Source organism: Homo sapiens, chromosome 22 (assembly GCF_000001405.40).
Source record: "Homo sapiens chromosome 22, GRCh38.p14 Primary Assembly".
In the NCBI taxonomy this organism is placed as follows: Eukaryota; Metazoa; Chordata; class Mammalia; order Primates; family Hominidae; genus Homo; species Homo sapiens.
This window is the reverse complement of record NC_000022.11, coordinates 46,357,449-46,378,538: the sequence shown is the minus strand read 5'-3', so window position 1 is coordinate 46,378,538 and position 21,090 is coordinate 46,357,449. Positions and strand designations below refer to the sequence as shown.

The 21,090-nt window shown below is 58.3% G+C and overlaps 1 protein-coding gene across 5 annotated transcripts in view, besides 6 other annotated features; it reads left to right on the top strand.

Annotated features, from left to right (window-relative positions):
• CELSR1 (cadherin EGF LAG seven-pass G-type receptor 1) overlaps positions 1-17,365 on the top strand; it is a 176,447-nt gene extending 159,082 nt beyond the window's left edge. For 3 of the 5 annotated variants that reach the window (NM_001378328.1, XM_011530555.3, XM_011530554.3), the window contains exons 24-35: positions 1,278-1,478; positions 5,482-5,656; positions 8,735-8,847; positions 9,281-9,360; positions 10,684-10,810; positions 11,421-11,546; positions 12,059-12,153; positions 12,850-12,953; positions 13,159-13,308; positions 13,803-14,027; positions 14,288-14,543; positions 15,292-17,365. In NM_001378328.1, coding sequence (NP_001365257.1) covers positions 1,278-1,478; positions 5,482-5,656; positions 8,735-8,847; positions 9,281-9,360; positions 10,684-10,810; positions 11,421-11,546; positions 12,059-12,153; positions 12,850-12,953; positions 13,159-13,308; positions 13,803-14,027; positions 14,288-14,543; positions 15,292-15,316 — 1,677 coding nt within the window. In that variant the 3' untranslated portion in view covers positions 15,317-17,365. Of the gene's footprint in view, positions 1-1,277; positions 1,479-5,481; positions 5,657-8,734; positions 8,848-9,280; positions 9,361-10,683; positions 10,811-11,420; positions 11,547-12,058; positions 12,154-12,849; positions 12,954-13,158; positions 13,309-13,802; positions 14,028-14,287 lie in introns of all 5 variants that reach the window. The other 2 variants (NM_014246.4, XM_047441624.1) reach the window with 2 other exon arrangements.
• Positions 358-1,557: an enhancer, noted in NCBI's record as "CDK7 strongly-dependent group 2 enhancer chr22:46772879-46774078 (GRCh37/hg19 assembly coordinates)". NCBI's record gives its function as "activates an origin of replication core promoter dependent on BRD2, BRD4, P300/CBP, MED14 and CDK7 cofactors, with strong dependence on CDK7, by STARR-seq in HCT116 cells {active_cell/tissue: HCT116}" and the evidence as "EXISTENCE:reporter gene assay evidence [ECO:0000049][PMID:35650434]".
• Positions 613-907: an enhancer, noted in NCBI's record as "tiled region #9841; K562 Activating non-DNase unmatched - State 10:DNaseD". NCBI's record gives its function as "activates a minimal TATA promoter and a strong SV40 promoter by Sharpr-MPRA in K562 cells {active_cell/tissue: K562}" and the evidence as "EXISTENCE:reporter gene assay evidence [ECO:0000049][PMID:27701403]".
• Positions 613-907: a silencer, noted in NCBI's record as "tiled region #9841; HepG2 Repressive DNase matched - State 1:Tss". NCBI's record gives its function as "represses a minimal TATA promoter and a strong SV40 promoter by Sharpr-MPRA in HepG2 cells {active_cell/tissue: HepG2}" and the evidence as "EXISTENCE:reporter gene assay evidence [ECO:0000049][PMID:27701403]".
• Positions 10,574-10,633: an enhancer, noted in NCBI's record as "active region_19236". NCBI's record gives its function as "activates an Ori minimal core promoter by ATAC-STARR-seq in GM12878 lymphoblastoid cells {active_cell/tissue: GM12878}" and the evidence as "EXISTENCE:reporter gene assay evidence [ECO:0000049][PMID:35858748]".
• Positions 15,716-16,215: an enhancer, noted in NCBI's record as "H3K4me1 hESC enhancer chr22:46758221-46758720 (GRCh37/hg19 assembly coordinates)". NCBI's record gives its function as "activates a minimal SCP1, AML or CMV promoter by ChIP-STARR-seq in primed H9 embryonic stem cells {active_cell/tissue: H9 hESC(primed)}" and the evidence as "EXISTENCE:reporter gene assay evidence [ECO:0000049][PMID:30033119]".
• Positions 16,216-16,717: an enhancer, noted in NCBI's record as "H3K4me1 hESC enhancer chr22:46757719-46758220 (GRCh37/hg19 assembly coordinates)". NCBI's record gives its function as "activates a minimal SCP1, AML or CMV promoter by ChIP-STARR-seq in primed H9 embryonic stem cells {active_cell/tissue: H9 hESC(primed)}" and the evidence as "EXISTENCE:reporter gene assay evidence [ECO:0000049][PMID:30033119]".

The following is a 21,090-nucleotide window of genomic DNA, read 5'->3' as shown; positions in this document are numbered from 1 at the left end:
CCCTCCCCCCCAAACCTGCACCTCCCCGCCAAACCTGCCCGTCCTCAAACCTGCTGAGCCTGCCCCCAAATCTGTCCCCTCCTCAAACTAAATCTTCCATTCTAAGTGCTTGGAACAAAACAAATCAACCGATTAAAACACATATTCGAGGATTGGCCAGAGTCTGAGGATTTCCATAACAAAGCCCCATTATAAGGGTTTTCAGAGAGCCCTGGTTATGTATTAAACCCCGGAATGGCAGACCCAAAGCTCAGGCTCCGAGGAGCTCTCGGAACCTGCCCCTCACTTCAGTGCGGGTCTGTTGGACGGTGCCGCTCCCCACCTGCTTTGATCCTAAGGGAGGTGACAGCTGCTGGGCGCTCTCCCTCGGGGCCACACGCAGGGCAGCAGGACAAAAGGCTGGGCGGCTAATGTTTAACCTCTGGCATTTTAAGCGGCCTGGGAATGTGAGCCGGCCATTGTGGGCTGCAGATGAATTGGGGAATGGCCCGAGCGCTGTCCTGGCCTCCCGTTATCCAGACAGGAGGGAGGTGGGAGCCAGCCTGGCCATGGCCTGTGTGGGACCCTGGGGTCTAGGAGTCAGAACCAGGGGCCTGGGTAGCCTCCCCCGGCCCCTCCCCGGGGTTGCACTGTGGCTCAAGGGCCCAGGCCACTGTCCTTTCCGAGGGCTTTTTGATGTGAAGTGGCCCTGGTTTCTGTCACATTCTTGGAAGGGTGAGTCAGCCCTCAGGCGGGGCTGGAGGAGGGCAGCGGCCTCTTGTGCAATATGCAGGTGAAGCTGACCCGCCTCTGCCCCTGTCTCATGGGCAAATGTCACTCCCCAGCAGGACCCAGCCTGGAGACGGGGTCAGTGATTAGTGGAGTTTGTTCATATGTGGGCGGGGTTGGGGCTTGTCTCATGGCCAGGATGCCAGGTGACATGTGGGCCAAGGAAGCTGAAATTGAGGCAGAAGAAAGGAGGCTGGAGTGAGAGTCCGAGGCTCCCATGGCCTGGGCGCCCCAAAGCCAGAGGTCTCTGAACGGCCCCCAAGCCAGTGGAGGGAGCCTGGCGTGCTGCCGCAGGCCCCAGGGATGCCCAGGGCCCAGGGCATTGAAGGAGCCTCAGGAGGGGCAGTTCCAGGCCCAGAGCCATGAGCACTCGGCCTCCCCAGCCCAGCCTGATCCTGCCAGCCTTGATCGTTTCATAAGCAAGTGTGTAATTTATCTCTGTTATGCAATGACCAGATCTGAGCCTCGGCCCTTACCTTCTCTCCTGCCTTTAACCCTCCTGCCCATAGAACGGGGAGGTCCTGCCTCTGAAGATTGTCACCTATGCCGCTGTGTCCTTGTCACTGGCAGCCCTGCTGGTGGCCTTCGTCCTCCTGAGCCTGGTCCGCATGCTGCGCTCCAACCTGCACAGCATTCACAAGCACCTCGCCGTGGCGCTCTTCCTCTCTCAGCTGGTGTTCGTGATTGGGATCAACCAGACGGAAAACCCGGTATGGCCACTCTGCTCCCCTCCCCACTGTCTGGGCCGCAGCTTGGAGCAGCTACCATAGTCCTGTCCTGGCCACTCCAAGCACCCTGGCTAGCTCCTCCTCACCACCCCCACCTCTGCTTCACAGATGCCCTTTCAGGAACGTGCCTGGTCACAGGCTGTGGGTGGAGATGTGGGATTCACTGGCAGGCCCAAGCACTTTGACTCTATTGGGAGATGGGGGGCCCTTTCTTTCTTTCTTTCTTTTTTTTTTTTTTTGAGAGTCTCGCTCTGTCAATCCAGGCTGGAGTGAGATGGCACAATCTCAGCTCACTGCAACTTCCACCTCCCAGGTTCAAGTGATTCTTGTGTACATCCCCAGGAAAATACAACTCTTGTCAAAAGTGATTTAAGGGCAGTGGCTCATGCGTGTAATCCCACCAGGATCCCTTTGGGAGGCTGAGGCAGGCAGATCACTTGAGGTCAGGAAGACCAGCCTTGCCAACATGGTAAAACCCAATCTCTACTAAAAATACAAAAATTAGCTGGGCGTGGTGCCGGGCACCTGTAATCCCAGCTACTCAGGAGGCTGAGGCAGGAGAATTGCTTGAGCCTGGGAGGCAGAGGTTGCAGTGAGCAGAGATGGAGCCACTGCACTCCAGCCTGGGCAATAGAGCGAGACTGTCTCAAAACAAAACAAAATGATTTAAGATGTAGAAAGACTAAATAGTCCTCTCACCGTTAGAGAATTTGCATTGCAGTATAAAAACCACGGCCAGGTTGGGTTTATCTTAGGAATGCAAGGATGGTTTAACATTTTAAAAATCTATGAATGCCATTTACCTCACCAGTACATTTAAGGGAAAAATATTATTTTTCTCAGAAATGAATGTACAAAAGAATTTTGATAAATGTTATGCTCATTAATGATTAGAAAGAAAGAAAAACCTTTGAACAGACTAGGACTAGGGGAAACTTTAATCTAATGAAGACATCTACAGAAAACCTGCAGTTGCAATAAATAACAATGGGAAGATACTGGAGGCATCCCCTGTAACATCAGGAACCCACTCACGTTCACCACTGTGGTGCAGGGTGGCCTTGCCAGTGCAATGAATAAGGAAAACAAAAGCATAGAGATCAGAAAGGAAGAAACAAAGCTGTCATTATTAGGTAACATGAAGGATCTCATAGAAAAAATCTAAAATAGTCTACAGGCACGTTATGAGAAACAATTAGGCTGGGCACGTTGGTTCATGCCTGTAATCCCAGCACTTTAGGAGGCCGAGGCAGGCAGATCACTTGAGGTCAAGGAGTTCGAGGCCAACCTGGCCAACATGGTGAAACCCTGTCTTTACTAAAAATACAAAGATTAGCTGGGCATAGTGGTACGCACCTGTAATCCCAGCTACTTGGGAGGCTGAAACATGAGAATCGCTTGAACCCGGGAGGCAGAGGTTGCAGTGAGCTGAGATGGTGCCACTGCACTCTGGCCTGGACAATAGAGTGAGACCCTGTCTCAAAAAAAAAAAAAAAAAAAAAAGAGCCTGGCAGCAGGTGGACGACGGGCAGAAGATCAGAGCAGTCTGATAATGCGCAGGCCTGGGAGGTGGGGTGGAGACCCAGAACTGAAGCCAGGGCACTGGGCACGGGGAGAAAGGAGGGACAGGACCAACCGGTTATGGAGCAGGCAGGAAGGAGGAGTCAGGGGAGTTTGACGTCTCCAGAAGGGAGAATGAGTAGTTGAAGGTACCACCCATTGAGAGGCAGGGTCTGGGTGAGATGGGACACCTGCAGAGGCCAAGGAAGGTGTGGCGCATGAGCCAGGGAGGCCGCCTCCAACTCGTGGGTGGAGACGGTGTCTGTGGGGCTGGACCGGCCCTGGGAAGGGAAACGGAATAAAAAGACCAGGCTGGAACCTTCCGGCGAGCTGCTCAGGGCCACGTGCAGACCTGAGCTGCTCCTCCTTTTTTACGGCAAGCGGTGGGACCAGACCCCTCTTACCTCAAGAGGGAAGGCAGGCACCCCCACCTCGCAGGTCACCCTTGAGAAGCCTCCATGGCTTCCCAGCAGTGGTAGGTGGAGCACCAGGCCTGGCCCATGAAGGACGAGCCCCGAGGCGTGTGTCAGACCAGCCAGGGCCAACCTTCCCCGCCGCCTCCCAGGTGCTTCCCGAGGCCGAGGCCCCGGGCTGGCGGGGGCTCCGTGTGCGGGGCCCATATGGCAGGGTCGCTGCTCCTGCGGAGGGGTTTCTTCACATCCGCAGCCGGGCGCATCCCCGCAATGGGCACGTTCTCATCCGCGCATTGGTCTGGGAAGGCTCTGAGAAGTGTGCGGATTTCATCTCAAAACCCCTCTAGTGTGCTTTTGAGTGGCGTGAATGGGGGAGAGGGGAGTCGGTGCAGGCCACTCCCTGCAACTCAACACCCCAGCGAAACTGAGGCGGCCCCTGGGTTCCCACACTGACTCGTCGCCTGCCGGAGTGAGCGCTGTCCCGGCAGCCACGCACGGCTGAGCATGGAGAAGGAAAGGGCGACCCGGCAGCGTTCTAGGGGCTTGGCAGAGTGCCTGGGCTTTATGGTTTTTTTGTAAACCCACAATCCTATCTCTGGGCGAGGTTTTTCATCTCTCAGAGCGCTGGCAGGCTGAAATGATTTATTATGCATCCGCTTTTGTCTTTGTTCTATTTCTGGAAAAGGTGGTACATTGGTTAGGGAAGCAGGTACGACCCTGCTGCAGCCAGGATGGCACAGCCCTCGCACTTTGTTTTCAAAAGGTGGTTTCGTGGGTTTACTTTTCGCATTACTTGAAGCAGCCATCCAGCCAACCAACCTTCTCACCCCCTTCCTTTTCCTGAGCCAGTGTGATTTCCACTCAGGAAACCAGGGTGTTTGGTGTAGAGTTCTCCAGCCACACGCTCGCGCCTCCTTTCCTGACCGAGGCCACAGTCTGAGGCAAAGGGCCTGTCTCTGGCATAACTTGAGCCTGCGTTCCCTGCTTCGGTTCCTGCTCTGTTCCGTATCTGACAGATGCGATGCTGACTTGGGGCCCTCCCCACCTCGGGGGCGTTGTTTCTGGAGGGTGGCTGGCCCTTCGAGGCTGATGTGTCAGCAGGGGCACCCTTAGGGTGCCGTGACCCAGTGCCTGAGCAAAGTGGCCTTAAGCCTGGGGTTGAGGCGGGGGCCCTCGTTCTCCTCCTACGCTTCTGTGTCTGTTAAAGGGTATCTCCCTGGGACCCCCTGGTAGGGTGGACTGATGGGATGGCTGCTGAGGATTAGACAGTGTGTCCAGAGCAGGCCGGTTGGGGGTGGGGTCAGGGTGGTGGGACCCTCCCATTGCTCCTATTGCTCCCATTGCTCCCATCTCCCCCATCTCCCCCATCTCCCCCTTCTCCCCCATCTCCCCCATCTCCCCCTTCTCCCCCATCTCCCCATTCTCCCATTTGGCTGGTTCAGCCTCCCGGGACCCAGAGGGGAGCCTGCCATCCTCTCCCAGCTGGCGGCAGCTTTGGGAGCACTGGCTGGGGCAGCCTCTCCCAGAGCACTGGGCACGAAGCTGCCCCTCCCAGAGCGCTGGGCGTGAAGCTGCCCCCCCCACCCCAGAGCACTGGGTGTGAAGCTGCCCCCCCAACCCCGAGCACTGGGTGTGAAGCTGCCCCCCCGCCCCGCCCAGAGCACTGGGTGTGAAGCTGCCTTGGGGCCACATCTTCAAGTGCAGTTCCGGGGCATGTGGGACTGGGTTTGTGTTCATGGCCTCAGAGACTAGTCTCTCTCTGTCATTCTCACACTGCTTTCTGTGTCCAGGCAGGCAGGGCTGGCTCACCTGCTGGCTCAGCTGCTCCGTGGATGTTGATTTTCAATTCCTGGCTCTCAGCCATTGGCCAGACATGTAGCCCTGCTCAGCTGAGGACAGACACATAGGGTGGTCCGAATTGTGAGCTCTCCCATCCCCCACCCCTCACTCATGCCTGTCTGACCTCAGCCTGGGATGCAGGGGCCCTTGCTGAGCGGCCCCTCCCTGCGCAGTTTCTGTGCACAGTGGTTGCCATCCTCCTCCACTACATCTACATGAGCACCTTTGCCTGGACCCTCGTGGAGAGCCTGCATGTCTACCGCATGCTGACCGAGGTGCGCAACATCGACACGGGGCCCATGCGGTTCTACTACGTCGTGGGCTGGGGCATCCCGGCCATTGTCACAGGTGAGGATGCACAGAGTGGCCCTGCATAAAACCACAGATTTCCAACAGACCCCAGCTGTGCAGGAACGCTGCCCTCCTTTCTCTTCCCTGCCCAGCCCCAATGCTTGTCCAGCCCCCAGCAGAGGAGGCCTCGGCCCTGCACACTGCGAGTGCATGCACAGGGGCACTCGCAGACACCTGGGGCGACGTCTTCTGTGAGGTGTGAGCTCATTGAGAGCTGGGTCCAGGTCTGTTCAGGGTTATTTCTGCAGCACTTAACAGACAAAAGTTCCACGTCTACACATGGGAGGGATGGAGGGAAGAGCGAGTGAGTGCATGAGTGTGCAGGTGGATGGATGGAGGGGTGAGTGAGAGGATGAATGGGTGGGTGGGGGGTGAGTGGATGGATGGATGGGGGGTAAGCGAGTGGCTGGATGGATGGGGGGTGAGTGGATGGATGGATGGGGGTGAATGAGTGGATGGATGGGTGGAGGGGTGAGTGAGTGGATGGGTAGATGGGGTGAGTGAGTGGATGGATGGATGGGTGGGGAGCGAGTGGATGGATAGATGGGGTGAGTGAGTGGATGGATGGATGGGTGGGGAGCGAGTGGATGGATGGATGGGGGTTGAGTGAGGATGGATGGATGGGTGGAGGGGTGAGTGAGTGGATGCATGGATGGGTGAGTAGATGGATGGTTGGAGGGGTGAGTGAGTAGATGGATGGGTGAGGGGTGAGTGAGTGGGTAGATGATGGATGGATGGGGGTGAATGGGTGGATGGAGGAATGAGTGAGTGAGCAGATGGATGGGTAGGTGGATGGAGGGATGGGATTAGTGGATGGGTGGGTAGATGGATATAGGGATGGAGAGACGAGTGAGTAGATGGGTGAATAGATGGATGAGTGGGTAGCTGGATGGATGGAGGAGTGAGTTGAGTGGATGGATGGGAGGGATGAAGGGCTGAGTGAGTGAGCAGATGGGTGGGTGGGTGGATGGAGGGATGGAGAGGTGGGTGGATGGATGGATGGATGGATGGATTGGATAAGTGAGTGGATGAATAGGTGGATGGATGGAGGGATGGAGAGATGAGTGAGTGGATGGATGGGTGGGTGGATGGATGGGATATGTGAGTGGATGAATAGGTGGATGGACGGATGGAGAGGTGAGTGAGTGGATGGATGGGTGGGTAGATGGATGGATGGGATAAGTCAGTGGATATGAATAGGATGGTTGGAGGGATGGAGAGATGAGTGGGTGGATGGATGGATGAAATGGGTGGGTGGATGGATTGGTAGCTAATGGATGACAATGAAATGAGTAAATGGATGGGTGGGTGCAGTGGGTGGATGGGATGAGTGAGTGGATGAATGAATTAGTGAATCAGTGAGTAGAACAAACAGTACTTCCTCAGCACACATTTTGCTTAAAATCAGAAAGTTGGTTTGCTCCCTACTGAGAAAAATCTACCTTTATTCACAAAAAGAAGAACCCCTTTTCCTGGGTAATCCCTGGGTTCTGGGGATTAGACGCAGTCTGAGGCCAGAGGCACTGGGGTGGGGGGGTGTTGCTCCCAGGGCAGCACCCAGCAGCCACCTGGGGCCAGTGCCATGGTCACTTGCTGGACCGTCCTGGTCTCCACAGCAACGTCACTGACCAGCCTCCAACCAGGCAGGCTCCTGGCTAGGGTGTTCTGATGTGACTCATCTCCCTTACTCTAAGGGACCCTGAAGAACCTTTTTCACCTCCACCCAGGGCCACTGAGGTGGGGGCAGGTTGGGCGGGGTGGCAGCCGCCACTTCCTGATGTGACAGGGAGGCGATACCTTGCCTAGATTAGGTGCTTACTGTGAGAGACGCTGAGATGAAGAACATGGCCTAGAAAGGGGCTCGTATGGCTTTGTCGAAAAGCCACCTCGATGTCCAGGCGGAGCAGGTCTCTGCGATGCCTCTGCCCTTTGGACTCTAAATCCAGATAGTTCACGTTTCCTACTTGCTTTAAAAACAGGTTTCGGTTTGTTTTGTTTAACACTTAGGTCTGTCTTGTACAAGATCTTAAAATAACTCCCGGGGAGCCTCAGACTGAGCTGCAGGCACTGGTCACTGGCTGCTGCCTCCCCCGGCCATCCAGGGCTTCCCTGACTGTCCTCAGTGGTCCTGGTTAACTGGCTCCTCCAGAGGGCAGTGGGAAGTGCTGGAGGGTGTTAAACAGGAGGGAGCTGGGATCTCTTCAATATTTAAATAAGGAGAGTGGGGAGGAGCATAGCCTAGGCCAGGGTGGGGCAAGGGGCACAGAAAGACCAGGTCTCACCTGCTGGTTGCTCCTGTCCCAAGTGTCACCTTGATGCTCTGCATGGACAGGCGGATCTGGTTTGTCACACTGTGGCTGGGAGTGACAACTGTGCTTCAGAGCATTTCTTCCTCTATCTAAACAAGCAGCTCGTATAGCAGGCTCGGTGGTGAGGCAGTTTCGGGGGTGTGTGTGTGGTGTGCACGTGTGTATGGTGTGTGCCTCTGTGGTGTGTGTGTATATCTGTGATGCGTGTCTGCACACGGTATGTGTGTCTGCATGCATGTGTATAGGGTATGTACATGTGTATGGCATGTGCACGTGGTTGGATGTGGTATGGGGGTATATGCGTTCCTCACCCGCTCACATATGGCCCTGTAGGTGACGCCGTCCTCCATCTGTTTTGGAGCCTCATCCCTTGCACCTTGGGTCCATCATGGCCTCCTGACCTCTACATGGCCCAGCTGGCAGGGTCCTCCCAAGCACCGTCTGCCTTCACGATCCCTCCTGCACCATCTCACTGCCACCCTCCAGGGTCTCTGGTCTTCCTCAGCAGCCCCCGGCCCAGATACGCCCCCTGCCTCATGGGGCCAATCCAGGAGCAGCTCCTGCCACCTGGGCCAGTGAGCCTGAGACCCTACACGGAGAGACTGTGCTTGGAGGGGCCCTGGGCTGGCTCCCTGGACTCCTTGCTCCTTCCTCTGAGAAGGGAGATGCTGAGTCCCCCATTTCACCCCACCCTGGCTGGTCCTTGGCATGGGGTGGCCACTGGGCACGTGGCCCTCACCCTTCCCTTCCTCCCCGCTGTGTTCAGGACTGGCGGTCGGCCTGGACCCCCAGGGCTACGGGAACCCCGACTTCTGCTGGCTGTCGCTTCAAGACACCCTGATTTGGAGCTTTGCGGGGCCCATCGGAGCTGTTATAATCGTGAGTGTGGGGCCTTCACGGGAGTCCGGGTGCCCCAAACATGCATGAGCTGGAAGGGCTGTTCTGGGTTGGCTGGGGCCACCAACTCCTCTGAGCAGCCGACGGGGGGCAGGAAGGGCCACCTTGTAACAGTCAGCAAAGCCGCCAGGGCCCTCCCGGACCTCACCCTCTGATCGTGGATTCAGGTCTCGCGTCGTGTCCGCATGAGACCATCTGCGTCCAGCACCCAGGAGGGTCCCGCACAGGCAGGCTGGGTGTGGTGGGCGCTGTGGGGCAGTGGGTGGACAGGTGTGCTTCGCCCCACAGGCCAGGGTTCGGGTCCTCCTCACCCAGCCACCCCTCCCTGACAGGGCGAAGGGCCTCAGGCGCTTTTGGCAGTTGGAGGTCTGCAGTGACGAGAGAGAAGACATTGATCGGCTTGTTTTGTTTTCAGATCAACACAGTCACTTCTGTCCTATCTGCAAAGGTTTCCTGCCAAAGAAAGCACCATTATTATGGGAAAAAAGGGATCGTGTAAGTGGGGCTGAACCTGACCGGCCAGCCATGTCGGCTGGGCCCTGAGACCCCGACGTCCAGTCTCTGCGGGGTGGGGCCCCATGAGAGCGTGTAGGCCTCATGGAGGAGGGCTGGGGGCAGCCTGGGTGAGCCCCAGGGCTCCAGAGAGGTTTGCCACGTTGCACCTGCAGGGGCTGGGGGAGGTTAGCTGAGGGGAGGGGGCTGGAGGAGGTTAGCTGAAGGGAGGGGGCTGGCAGCCAGTCCTGGGCCTCAGTCCCTCCCGCCTGGCACAGAAGTATTGGGCTGTCTGGAATCCCCAGAGTGGAGATGGGTGGGGTGGGGGAGATGAAACTTTCTGGTGGGTGGTGAGGGTGTTGCTGAGGCCACTGGAGGGGAGGAGACCCCCCCACCCCACTGTCAGAGGGTGCAGTGGAACAGGGGCCCAGCACAGAGGGAACCTCCAGTGTTCTAGGGAGGAGAGGGGACCTTCGAGGCCCCAAAGGAGCAGGTGGCACCGCGGGAGGACTCAGCACAGCGTCCAGGAGCCACGACAGGGTCAGGAGGGGTTGACGGGGGCATCTGTCAGACAACAAGGCCAGCCCCTGGTGACCTGGTAGCTGAGATGGGACTGAGCCAGGGATGGGCGAAGGGATAATGCTTGCGCAGGGGCTGGGTGTCAGGAGGAGTGTGAGGCTCCCGGCCCGGGAGGAGAGAGCCGAGTCTGAAGGGGGGTAGGGCAGAGAGGGAGAGGCAGTGAGTGGCCTGGAAGGCCGGATATGGGGGTGCACGGGGGGTCTGGGGCCTTGTCAGTTCCTCGTCTTCAGTGCCATCCACGACCTGTGGACCTTGCGGGCTCTGTCACCCGGATTCACTCCATCCCCTCTGAACCCTGGGAGGGGATGCGCCTTTGTCTTCCCCTTGTACACATGGGGAGACTGAGGCAGAGCTCAGGAAGCTGATTGCAGGGTCACAGCTCAAGGGCAGGTCCTGGGCTCTTCCTCTTGCCTCTCCACAGGGTATCTCACGGGAGCTAGTGCAGCCATGGGCATGGCTCAGGCCCCTTGGCCTGGTGTAGTCCTCACAGCTCCTGTTTTCTCATTTGCTTCCTAATGTATTCCACCACCACCCCCACTAACACGAGCTCTGTCTGGTTCCCGGATGAGTCCGTACCTGGCTACGAGGGGAGGAAGGGAGCAAGGTGGATGATGGCTGGGTGGACAGGTGGACGGACAGATAGATGGGCGGACGGGCAGGCAGGTGGACAGGTGGACGTGCAGAGAGGGAGGGAGGAAGGGAGCAGGTGGTGGCGATGGGCACAGGCCTGATCCTGCCCTCCCGCAGCTCCCTGCTGAGGACCGCATTCCTCCTGCTGCTGCTCATCAGCGCCACCTGGCTGCTGGGGCTGCTGGCTGTGAACCGCGATGCACTGAGCTTTCACTACCTCTTCGCCATCTTCAGCGGCTTACAGGTAGGTGACGGCCGAGTTGCCCGCGGGACCCCTGCCTGGCCGCCGTGACACCATCGCTGTGATGCGAAGCAGTGGAGGCCTCTGCGGTCCCAAACCAGCCCTGCCTGGGTCCCGCGTGGGGGCCTCCTGTGGCTGTGAGGACTCAGTCCCTTGTGCAGCCGGCACGGGGGCTGGTGCCTCCTCCCCACTGTGTCTGGGGACGATGACCCTAGTGCCAGGCCAGCACAAGTCCACTTGTGTCTCCAGGGAACAGAAGTGGCCATTTCTAGTCATACCAAGGGCCACACAGCAAGTGGACTTACGACACAGTGGGGACCCCAGAGGGGCCCCAAGGACTGTGGAAGGAGTGCCCAGAAGACTGGCCTGAGCCGGGGCCCTCACTGCCTCCAGCACACCGGGGGTCTGGCCCAGGCATCTCAGTTTCTGAGCTCCCCCACCTGGCCTCCAGATAGCAGCAGTCCCTGAGGAGGGGAGGCCTGGCCGTGTCCTGGGCCGTGTGGCCGGACATGTTGTGTGCACTCAAGGCTGTATGCGCATCTGTGCTGGGGCGCCTAAGGGCAGGTGCCTAGGGAGGCAGCAGCAGGTGCTGACCCCACCTTCCTCCCTCCAGGGCCCCTTCGTCCTCCTTTTCCACTGCGTGCTCAACCAGGAGGTCCGGAAGCACCTGAAGGGCGTGCTCGGCGGGAGGAAGCTGCACCTGGAGGACTCCGCCACCACCAGGGCCACCCTGCTGACGGTAGGAGGCGCCGGGGACACCGCGGGACTGGGGGCTGGGCGGCATCTCGAGGGGCGGGGGAGGGTGATCGAGCCTCAGCCCCAGTCCTGCGGCCCGTATGCCCCTCACGGTGGGGATGGCAGAGCCGCCCGCGGTGCACGGTGTGGCTGCCGCGTCAGAACCAGAAAGTGACAGAATCGGCCAGATGGGGCCTGGGTCGCATCCTAACCCTGCTCTTCCAGGCCTTAGAAAGAGAGGGTCAGGACCACCGAGGATCCTGACCAGAAGCAGTGGCCGTAGGGAGGGCGGCAGCCCCTGACCACAGCGCGGGCCAGGATGTGCTTCCCTCAGCTGCCAGGAGGCTCTCGTTTGCAGTGAGGGTTGACTGCTTGGGGCCAGCTCCTCCTGTGTGCCAGGCAGGGGCCCAGCCAGGGTGTGGGTGTGGGGGGCTTGCCGTGGGGACAGAGTCATTCCCCGTGGTGGTCATGTGGTGGCCACCACTTGGCAGTGACCAGCCCCTCCCCTCCCTTCAGCGCTCCCTCAACTGCAACACCACCTTCGGTGACGGGCCTGACATGCTGCGCACAGACTTGGGCGAGTCCACCGCCTCGCTGGACAGCATCGTCAGGTCAGGCCGCAGCTCCGGGTTCGGGGAGGTGGCTCTCGAACTCCCTCAGGTTTTGCCCCTGCCACCCCAACCTGTGTCCTGCCATTCAACCAACATCACCTTCCACCCCCAACTTTCCACCCGCACCTTCTTCCCACCCGCAACTTCCCTCCCTGCCCCGCACCTTCCCTCCCCGCCTCGCACCTTCCCTTCCCCTGCACCTTCCCCCAACAACCTTTCCCCCACCAACTTCCCCCAACCAACCTTTTCCCGTGCAACCTTCCCCCCCGCACCTTCCCCGCACTGCACCTTCCCCCCGCAGCCTTCCCCCCTCCACCTTCCCCCTCCACCTTTCCCCTGACAACCTTTCCCCCCAACCTTTCCCCCAGCACCTTCCCCCCAACCTTTCCCCCCACCACCTTCCCCCCCAGCCTTTCCCCCCACCACCTTTCCCCCACCCAGCCTTTCCCCCCACCACCTTCCCCCACCCAACCTTTCCCCCCACCACCTTCCCCCACCCAACCTTTCCACCCACCACCTTCCCCCCACCCAACCTTTCCCCCCACCACCTTTCCCCCACATACTCGGGAGGCTGTTTTGTCTGTGCTGTTGTTGGGAACACAGAAGGGGTAGGGGCAGAGAATCTTCCAGAGAACTTTCCAGCACCTCCTGTTCCCTGACGGATGATACTGAGCCCACCCTCCCTGGCCTCTCTAGGGATGAAGGGATCCAGAAGCTCGGCGTGTCCTCTGGGCTGGTGAGGGGCAGCCACGGAGAGCCAGACGCGTCCCTCATGCCCAGGAGCTGCAAGGATCCCCCTGGTATGGCTTCCCTGGAGGGGGAGGACCCCGTGGGTTGTTTTTCCCACGTCCCTTCGGTCACTGGACAGACTGCCCCTGAAGAAGCACTAGCAGCCTCGCCATGCTCAGCGTCAGCATGCCAGGGGCCCAGTGGCTCTGCTTGGCCCTCGGTGGGACTCCCTCACCTCCCAGGGCCTGAGCCTCCCTGTCCCCCGCGCATCCACAGGCCACGATTCCGACTCAGATAGCGAGCTGTCCCTGGATGAGCAGAGCAGCTCTTACGCCTCCTCACACTCGTCAGACAGCGAGGACGATGGGGTGGGAGCTGAGGAAAAATGGGACCCGGCCAGGGGCGCCGTCCACAGCACCCCCAAAGGTGAGTGTGTGGGGCACATTGGGCCAGGCTGGGCTGTGGACAGCGGGCTCGGGGCAGGCCTTGGCTATGGCTGGGTCCCTTCCTCCCAGGATATGCCCAGCAGCACTGCAGCCACATGAAAGGACAGCCTGGGGTGGGGGGACTCTGGTTGGGCTCCCCCACAGCCTCTGGAGGGCTCCTCCAGGCCAACCCCCTGAGCGGAGGCAGGAACTCTCAGGGGGGTCTCTGTGGACTGTCACCGCAAGGTCCAGGTGAGGCTGCCAGTGGGGGATTAGCCTGTATAGTTACTGGTACAGATGCGGCGGGGGCTCCCAACAAGGGCCCTGCTGCCAGGACTCGCCCTCCTGGGCCTCAGTTTCCCCACCTTTAGGGTTCAGCCCTACCAGGCCTGCAGGTTGGGGAGAGGTGGGTCAGAGCCACCAGACCCATGGCTCTCAAGGGAGCAGCTCGAGTGGCAGTGCCGCTGCCTGCTGAGCACCGCTCTCGTGCCTCAGGGGACGCTGTGGCCAACCACGTTCCGGCCGGCTGGCCCGACCAGAGCCTGGCTGAGAGTGACAGTGAGGACCCCAGCGGCAAGCCCCGCCTGAAGGTGGAGACCAAGGTCAGCGTGGAGCTGCACCGCGAGGAGCAGGGCAGTCACCGTGGAGAGTACCCCCCGGACCAGGAGAGCGGGGGCGCAGCCAGGCTTGCTAGCAGCCAGCCCCCAGAGCAGAGGAAAGGTGCCTGGGGAGGCCGGGGCTGCAGTGAAAGGCTGGAGGACCCAGAAGGGCCAGTCCCTGGTCTGGAGGTGGGAGTGGGGCTGGGGCTGGTGGGGCAAGTCAGGGCCTGGGCAGAACAGACGTGGCCTCCTGGCCTAGCCCTGGGACCCGGGGAACCAGGAGGAAGGACAGGGGCTGAGGCTGGCTCAGCTGCACACGGCCCAGCAGCTGCCCCCGGCAGCATCACCCGGACTTGACCTTGCCGTGTCTCCTCCTCCCAGGCATCTTGAAAAATAAAGTCACCTACCCGCCGCCGCTGACGCTGACGGAGCAGACGCTGAAGGGCCGGCTCCGGGAGAAGCTGGCCGACTGTGAGCAGAGCCCCACATCCTCGCGCACGTCTTCCCTGGGCTCTGGCGGCCCCGACTGCGCCATCACAGTCAAGAGCCCTGGGAGGGAGCCGGGGCGTGACCACCTCAACGGGGTGGCCATGAATGTGCGCACTGGGAGCGCCCAGGCCGATGGCTCCGACTCTGAGTGAGTAGCCTGGGCCTCCAGGGCGGGGATCACCCACTTCCCCCTTGTCCTGAGTCAGGAGAGAGAGGGGGCAGTGGTCAGGGACCTGACACCCACCTCACCTGGAGCCCTGAGTGCAGAGGAAGCCCAGGCGGGGATGGGGGAGGGGGGAGGCGCTGCAGCTGAGGTCAGGAGGATACCCCGGAGATGGGCAGACCCCCTATCCTGGGGACACGTCTCAGGCCTCTGGGACTCTGAAGCCCTGGCCAGCCCCAAAATGCTAGGACCTAAGGTGCTGGGCTCTGCGTTTGATCAGCATTGTCTCCGCCTGGGACCACTGCCACCCACCTTGCAGTTGAGGATACTGAGGGTCCCGGAATGCCAGGGGTGAAGGGGGCGGGGTGGAGCTGGGGTCCTGGCCCCAGACCTCTCCCTGTCGCCCCTCCCTCCCTCCAAACTCACAAGGGAGAAGCCAGGTCTTCAGAATGCCCCTTCCAAAAGTCACTGTAGAGATGGCCGGTTTCTAACGTGGATTCCTTGCGCTCTTCTGAAAGACCAGCAACACAGAGGCCCACAGGCTGGTCCTGGTCCCCTCTCCTGCCTCCCAAGGGCAGCCTCATCCAACATGAGCTTGCCCTCCCTGGAGCCCCCAGACGCCCCCTCTACCCTGATGGGGTGATCCTGCCCCCCCGTGTGACAACCTTGGGCCCCACCAAGCCGCTACCCTCACTGACCCTTCACCTGCTTGCTGGCTTCTTCCCACGCGCAGAGGCAGTAATGAAACTTCAATTTGAACCATCAGTAATGAAACTTCAATTTGAACCATCAGGAAACCGTGAGGCAAGCCCGTCACCCCACACAGGCTGCGGCATCACCCTCAGACCTTGGAGCCCAAGGGGCCACTGCCCTTGAAGTGGAGTGGGCCCAGAGTGTGGCGGTCCCCATGGTGGCAGCCCCCCGACTGATCATCCAGACACAAAGGTCTTGGTTCTCCCAGGAGCTCAGGGCCTGTCAGACCTGGTGACAAGTGCCAAAGGCCACAGGCATGAGGGAGGCGTGGACCACTGGGCCAGCACCGCTGAGTCCTAAGACTGCAGTCAAAGCCAGAACTGAGAGGGGACCCCAGACTGGGCCCAGAGGCTGGCCAGAGTTCAGGAACGCCGGGCACAGACCAAAGACCGCGGTCCAGCCCCGCCCAGGCGGGCATCTCATGGCAGTGCGGACCCGTGGCTGGCAGCCCGGGCAGTCCTTTGCAAAGGCACCCCTTGTCTTAAAATCACTTCGCTATGTGGGAAAGGTGGAGATACTTTTATATATTTGTATGGGACTCTGAGGAGGTGCAACCTGTATATATATTGCATTCGTGCTGACTTTGTTATCCCGAGAGATCCATGCAATGATCTCTTGCTGTCTTCTCTGTCAAGATTGCACAGTTGTACTTGAATCTGGCATGTGTTGACGAAACTGGTGCCCCAGCAGATCAAAGGTGGGAAATACGTCAGCAGTGGGGCTAAAACCAAGCGGCTAGAAGCCCTACAGCTGCCTTCGGCCAGGAAGTGAGGATGGTGTGGGCCCTCCCCGCCGGCCCCCTGGGTCCCCAGTGTTCGCTGTGTGTGCGTTTGTCCTCTGCTGCCATCTGCCCCGGCTGTGTGAATTCAAGACAGGGCAGTGCAGCACTAGGCAGGTGTGAGGAGCCCTGCTGAGGTCACTGTGGGGCACGGTTGCCACACGGCTGTCATTTTTCACCTGGTCATTCTGTGACCACCACCCCCTCCCCTCACCGCCTCCCAGGTGGCCCGGGAGCTGCAGGTGGGGATGGCTTTGTCCTTTGCTCCTGCTCCCCGTGGGACCTGGGACCTTAAAGCGTTGCAGGTTCCTGATTTGGACAGAGGTGTGGGGCCTTCCAGGCCGTTACATACCTCCTGCCAATTCTCTAACTCTCTGAGACTGCGAGGATCTCCAGGCAGGGTTCTCCCCTCTGGAGTCTGACCAATTACTTCATTTTGCTTCAAATGGCCAATTGTGCAGAGGGACAAAGCCACAGCCACACTCTTCAACGGTTACCAAACTGTTTTTGGAAATTCACACCAAGGTCGGGCCCACTGCAGGCAGCTGGCACAGCGTGGCCCGAGGGGCTGTGGAACGGGTCCCGGAACTGTCAGACATGTTTGATTTTAGCGTTTCCTTTGTTCTTCAAATCAGGTGCCCAAATAAGTGATCAGCACAGCTGCTTCCAAATAGGAGAAACCATAAAATAGGATGAAAATCAAGTAAAATGCAAAGATGTCCACACTGTTTTAAACTTGACCCTGATGAAAATGTGAGCACTGTTAGCAGATGCCTATGGGAGAGGAAAAGCGTATCTGAAAATGGTCCAGGACAGGAGGATGAAATGAGATCCCAGAGTCCTCACACCTGAATGAATTATACATGTGCCTTACCAGGTGAGTGGTCTTTCGAAGATAAAAAACTCTAGTCCCTTTAAACGTTTGCCCCTGGCGTTTCCTAAGTACGAAAAGGTTTTTAAGTCTTCGAACAGTCTCCTTTCATGACTTTAACAGGATTCTGCCCCCTGAGGTGTAATTTTTTTGTTCTATTTTTTTCCACGTACTCCACAGCCAACATCACGAGGTGTAATTTTTAATTTGATCAGAACTGTTACCAAAAAACAACTGTCAGTTTTATTGAGATGGGAAAAATGTAAACCTATTTTTATTACTTAAGACTTTATGGGAGAGATTAGACACTGGAGGTTTTTAACAGAACGTGTATTTATTAATGTTCAAAACACTGGAATTACAAATGAGAAGAGTCTACAATAAATTAAGATTTTTGAATTTGTACTTCTGCGGTGCTGGTTTTTCTCCACAAACACCCCCGCCCCTCCCCATGCCCAGGGTGGCCGTGGAAGGGACGGTTTACGGACGTGCAGCTGAGCTGTCCGTGTCCCATGCTCCCTCAGCCAGTGGAACGTGCCGGAACTTTTTGTCCATTCCCTAGTAGGCCTGCCACAGCCTAGATGGGCAGTTTTTGTCTTTCACCAAATTTGAGGACTTTTTTTTTTTGCCATTATTTCTTCAGTTTTCTTTTCTTGCACTGATCTTTCTCCTCTCCTTCTGTGACTCCAGTGACTCAGACGTTAGACCTCTTGATGTTTTCCCACTGGTCCCTGAGGCTCTGTTCACCTTTCTTCATTCTTTTTTCTGTCTGTCCTTCAGATTTGGCTATTTCTGGTGCTCCGTCTTCAAGTTCACTGATTTTTTTTCCTCTGTCGTCTTAATTCTGCTACTGAACTCACCCAGTGAATTTATTTCAAATACTGTAATTAAGTTTTAAAATTTCCATTAGGTTCCTTTTTATTTCTCTGCTGGGTACTTCTGGTTTTCCACTCATTCCAAGAGTGTTCACCTTTACTTCATGAAGCATGGTTATAACTAGGACTGCAGTGAATTCTGGGATAATTTGAACGTTTGAGCATCTTGGGGCTGAAATCGTCTTTTCTGTTTGCATTTTCCTGGTTGTGTGCTGAGTAACTGCAAGTTGAATCCTCACTCGTCATGTGGAATGTTAGGTTAGACTCTGGGTTGTTAACACCCTCGTTGTAAGTGTCATTTCATGTGTTTGTTTCAGCAGCAGGCAACCTGGTTTAGGTTCTGACCACTGGTTCTGTCTCTCTTTCCACGAGCAGCAGGTCCACCACCAGGTCAGCCCTTGGCCTTGGCTGTGCTGTTTTGGGTCGTTGCCTGCACTCACAGGTGGGGTGGGCAGGGACGTGTGTCAGCACATGTAGAGAATCTGGGGGTCTGCTTCTCCAGCACTCTCCTTGCTGGAATTTGCCTTGCATTTTCTCACTTCTGGGGTCCCTTTTCTTGGTTTCTCTGTCCAGAAAGATGGGTTTCTCCCAGAGCTCTAGCCACCTGCACTGTCTCACGCTTCCACCCTTAAGGAAACAGGGCTCACCCTTAAGGAAAAGTAGTGACAGCAAAGAGAGAAAAATGGGAACCCCAACCCTCTCTAGTCCACAGTGCCCCCGTTTCCCAGGCCTCTCTGGAGTTGTTGCCCTGGTGCTGGCTGCACAGGACCACAGATTAGGGCCACCCCCGGGTCAAATCTGAGAGAGGAAAAACCACCCATGTGCCTGAGGTCATTTTTCAAGTTGTTGCTTTCTCCTCAGTTCACCTGCTAACGTTTACATCCTAGAATGCTCAGTGGCTAACATGATAGAATATTTCTACCTCAACCCCAAAGCCATGATTAGCAGGAAAATACTAGAAGCATCTGAGAGAGAGAAAGCAGTCCAGGTAGCCCGGAGCAGGCCTGTCCATCAGCCAGGCCAGGATGTCCATGTGAGGACCACGAAGTGCTCCGCAGAGCATCCGCAGCAGACCGTGACGGGTGAGGGCTGAACGAGCCCCTCTGTGATCCTGCCTGAACAGATGACAGCACAAACACCGGCCAAGCCACAGGGCGTCGACTCCCCCGGCCCAGGTGACAGGGGTGACCGCAGCTGCTTCAGTCACAGCTTCAGCCTCGCCTTGGGCTCCTCAGCCTGGAGGCAAGGCTTGTTAAGACCCCCAGGAGGGTCAGGCAGTGGTCCATGTCTGTAATCCCAACAGTGGCTGGCTGAGGCGGGAGTTCCAGACCAGACTGGGCAACACAGCAGGACTCCATCTCTACAGTTTTTAAAACTTAGCACAGTGGATCATGCCTGTAGTCCCAGTGCTTTGGGAGGCTGAGGCAAGATCGCTTGAGGCCAGGAGCTCAAGACCAGCCTAGACAACATAGCAAGACTGTTTCTAAAACAAAATTAAAGTTAGCTGGGTGTGGTGGTGTATGCCTGTTGTCCCAGCTACTTGGGAGGTCAAGGCTGCAGTGAGCTGTGATCACACCACTGCGCTCCAGCCTGGGTAACAGAGCAAGACCCTGTCTCTTGAAAAGAAAAAAAAAGAAACCTCCCCAAGAAGGAAGGGGCTTGGGCCCAGGCAAGGCTCCGGCACAGGGCAACATGGGAGCCAGAGACTGGGGAGAAGGCAGGCTCAGGGTGTTTGAAACCAGCTCAGGGCCTCGGGAAGGAGCCTCCCAGGTGTGAGGTGAGGGGGCATCATCCTAGGACCCATGTATCACTGAGATTATCCGGGAACAACGTAGGGGGAGAGGAGAGCGAGGGCTTTGCTTTCATTTGTATCACAAGCAGGGAGTAGGTGTAGGTGTACAGGCACCCAGCTCTTGGCCTGGAAAATGTTCCCCCATCGTCTTCATGGATAGGTGTGGCAAGGGGCTAAGGCCAGGCCACTGGGGGTACCCTTGCAGGCAGAAGGGGCTACCTAGCTACCTGTGCTCCTGGAGGCCCCCAGGTCTTCAAGAAGTCATCTGAGGGGCACAGCCTCTGGAGTGTGCCAGCCTTGGGTGCTGGGGAGGGTAGGAAAGAGGCCAGAAGAGCAGCCTGGAGACTTGGTCCCCTGGCCAACAGTTTCTGCTGAATCTCTGAGACATCGCACCAAAGCCCTCCAGAGTTGGCCAGTGGCCTTGTAGGGGGCAGGGCAGGCCATTGTGCCTGCTAGAGAGGGGAGCCCTGCCAGTCAGGAAGCTGTCACCATGGAGCCTGGGGGCTCAAGGGGGCAGAGGCAGGTTTGTGTCCCCGCTTCCTCCACTGGCCGATGCACAGGCCCTGAGGCTGGCAGGACGGTGGAGCCCGCTGGAGGTTGGAGCGGGGGCAGCCTTAGCGCTGCTGGCCTGGTGCCCACACCACCTTCTGCCTGGCTGCCCCACCTCCCACCTACTCATGTTTCTGTGACCTGGGAGGGTTCACCTAGGGCAGAGCAGTAGGCACCACAAGGGCTCTCCCACCCTCAGTTCCCAGGCTGGAGGCCCGACCACAGCCATAAATCAGGGAACCCCTGAGCCCAGGGAGGCTCCGTGCTGGGCTGAGCTGGCAGAACAAACGCGGCGCTTTAGCTCGGCCTCCATGCCCAGCTGGGCCGAGGATCCCCAGGGGCCTGTCTGGTCCCACTGGCCAGCGCTCTGCCTGCCTGGTAGAGCTGGGGCTTGCCCCTGGCCAGGGCAGCACTGACCCCACACCCCCCACCTCCCCACCCCAGCCCAGCAAGGGCCACGGCTCCACCTTAGGCCCCGTTTCCTCACCTGGCCTGCGGGGTTCTGGCCCACTCCTCACCCTCAGGACACTCCCTGCTGCGTGGGGGCCTAGGCTAGAAGGAAGGGTGCCCCAGGTCAGGGGACACCCAGTGGGGAGATGGGAGGAGGGGTCAGGATGGACAGTGGGCCCCATGGCAGCCCCCACCCTGACGCACCAGCAAGAACTCAGGGCATCTGGGCAAGGCCCTCTGCGCACCACCTGGCTGCCTCTGGAACCTTCCCACCCAGAGAAGGGGAATGCACCTCTGGTCCCCGCAGGAACCTGTCTTGAGGCACCAACAACACGCTACGAAGGACTCAAGCCCAGCAAGAGGAAGAGAGCCAAGGACACAGGTCAGCATCGCAGGCACCTACTCTGGAGTCCAGGAGCAGGGATACGGGGGCAGAGGATGGAGCAGCTGGGACCTCAGGGAGA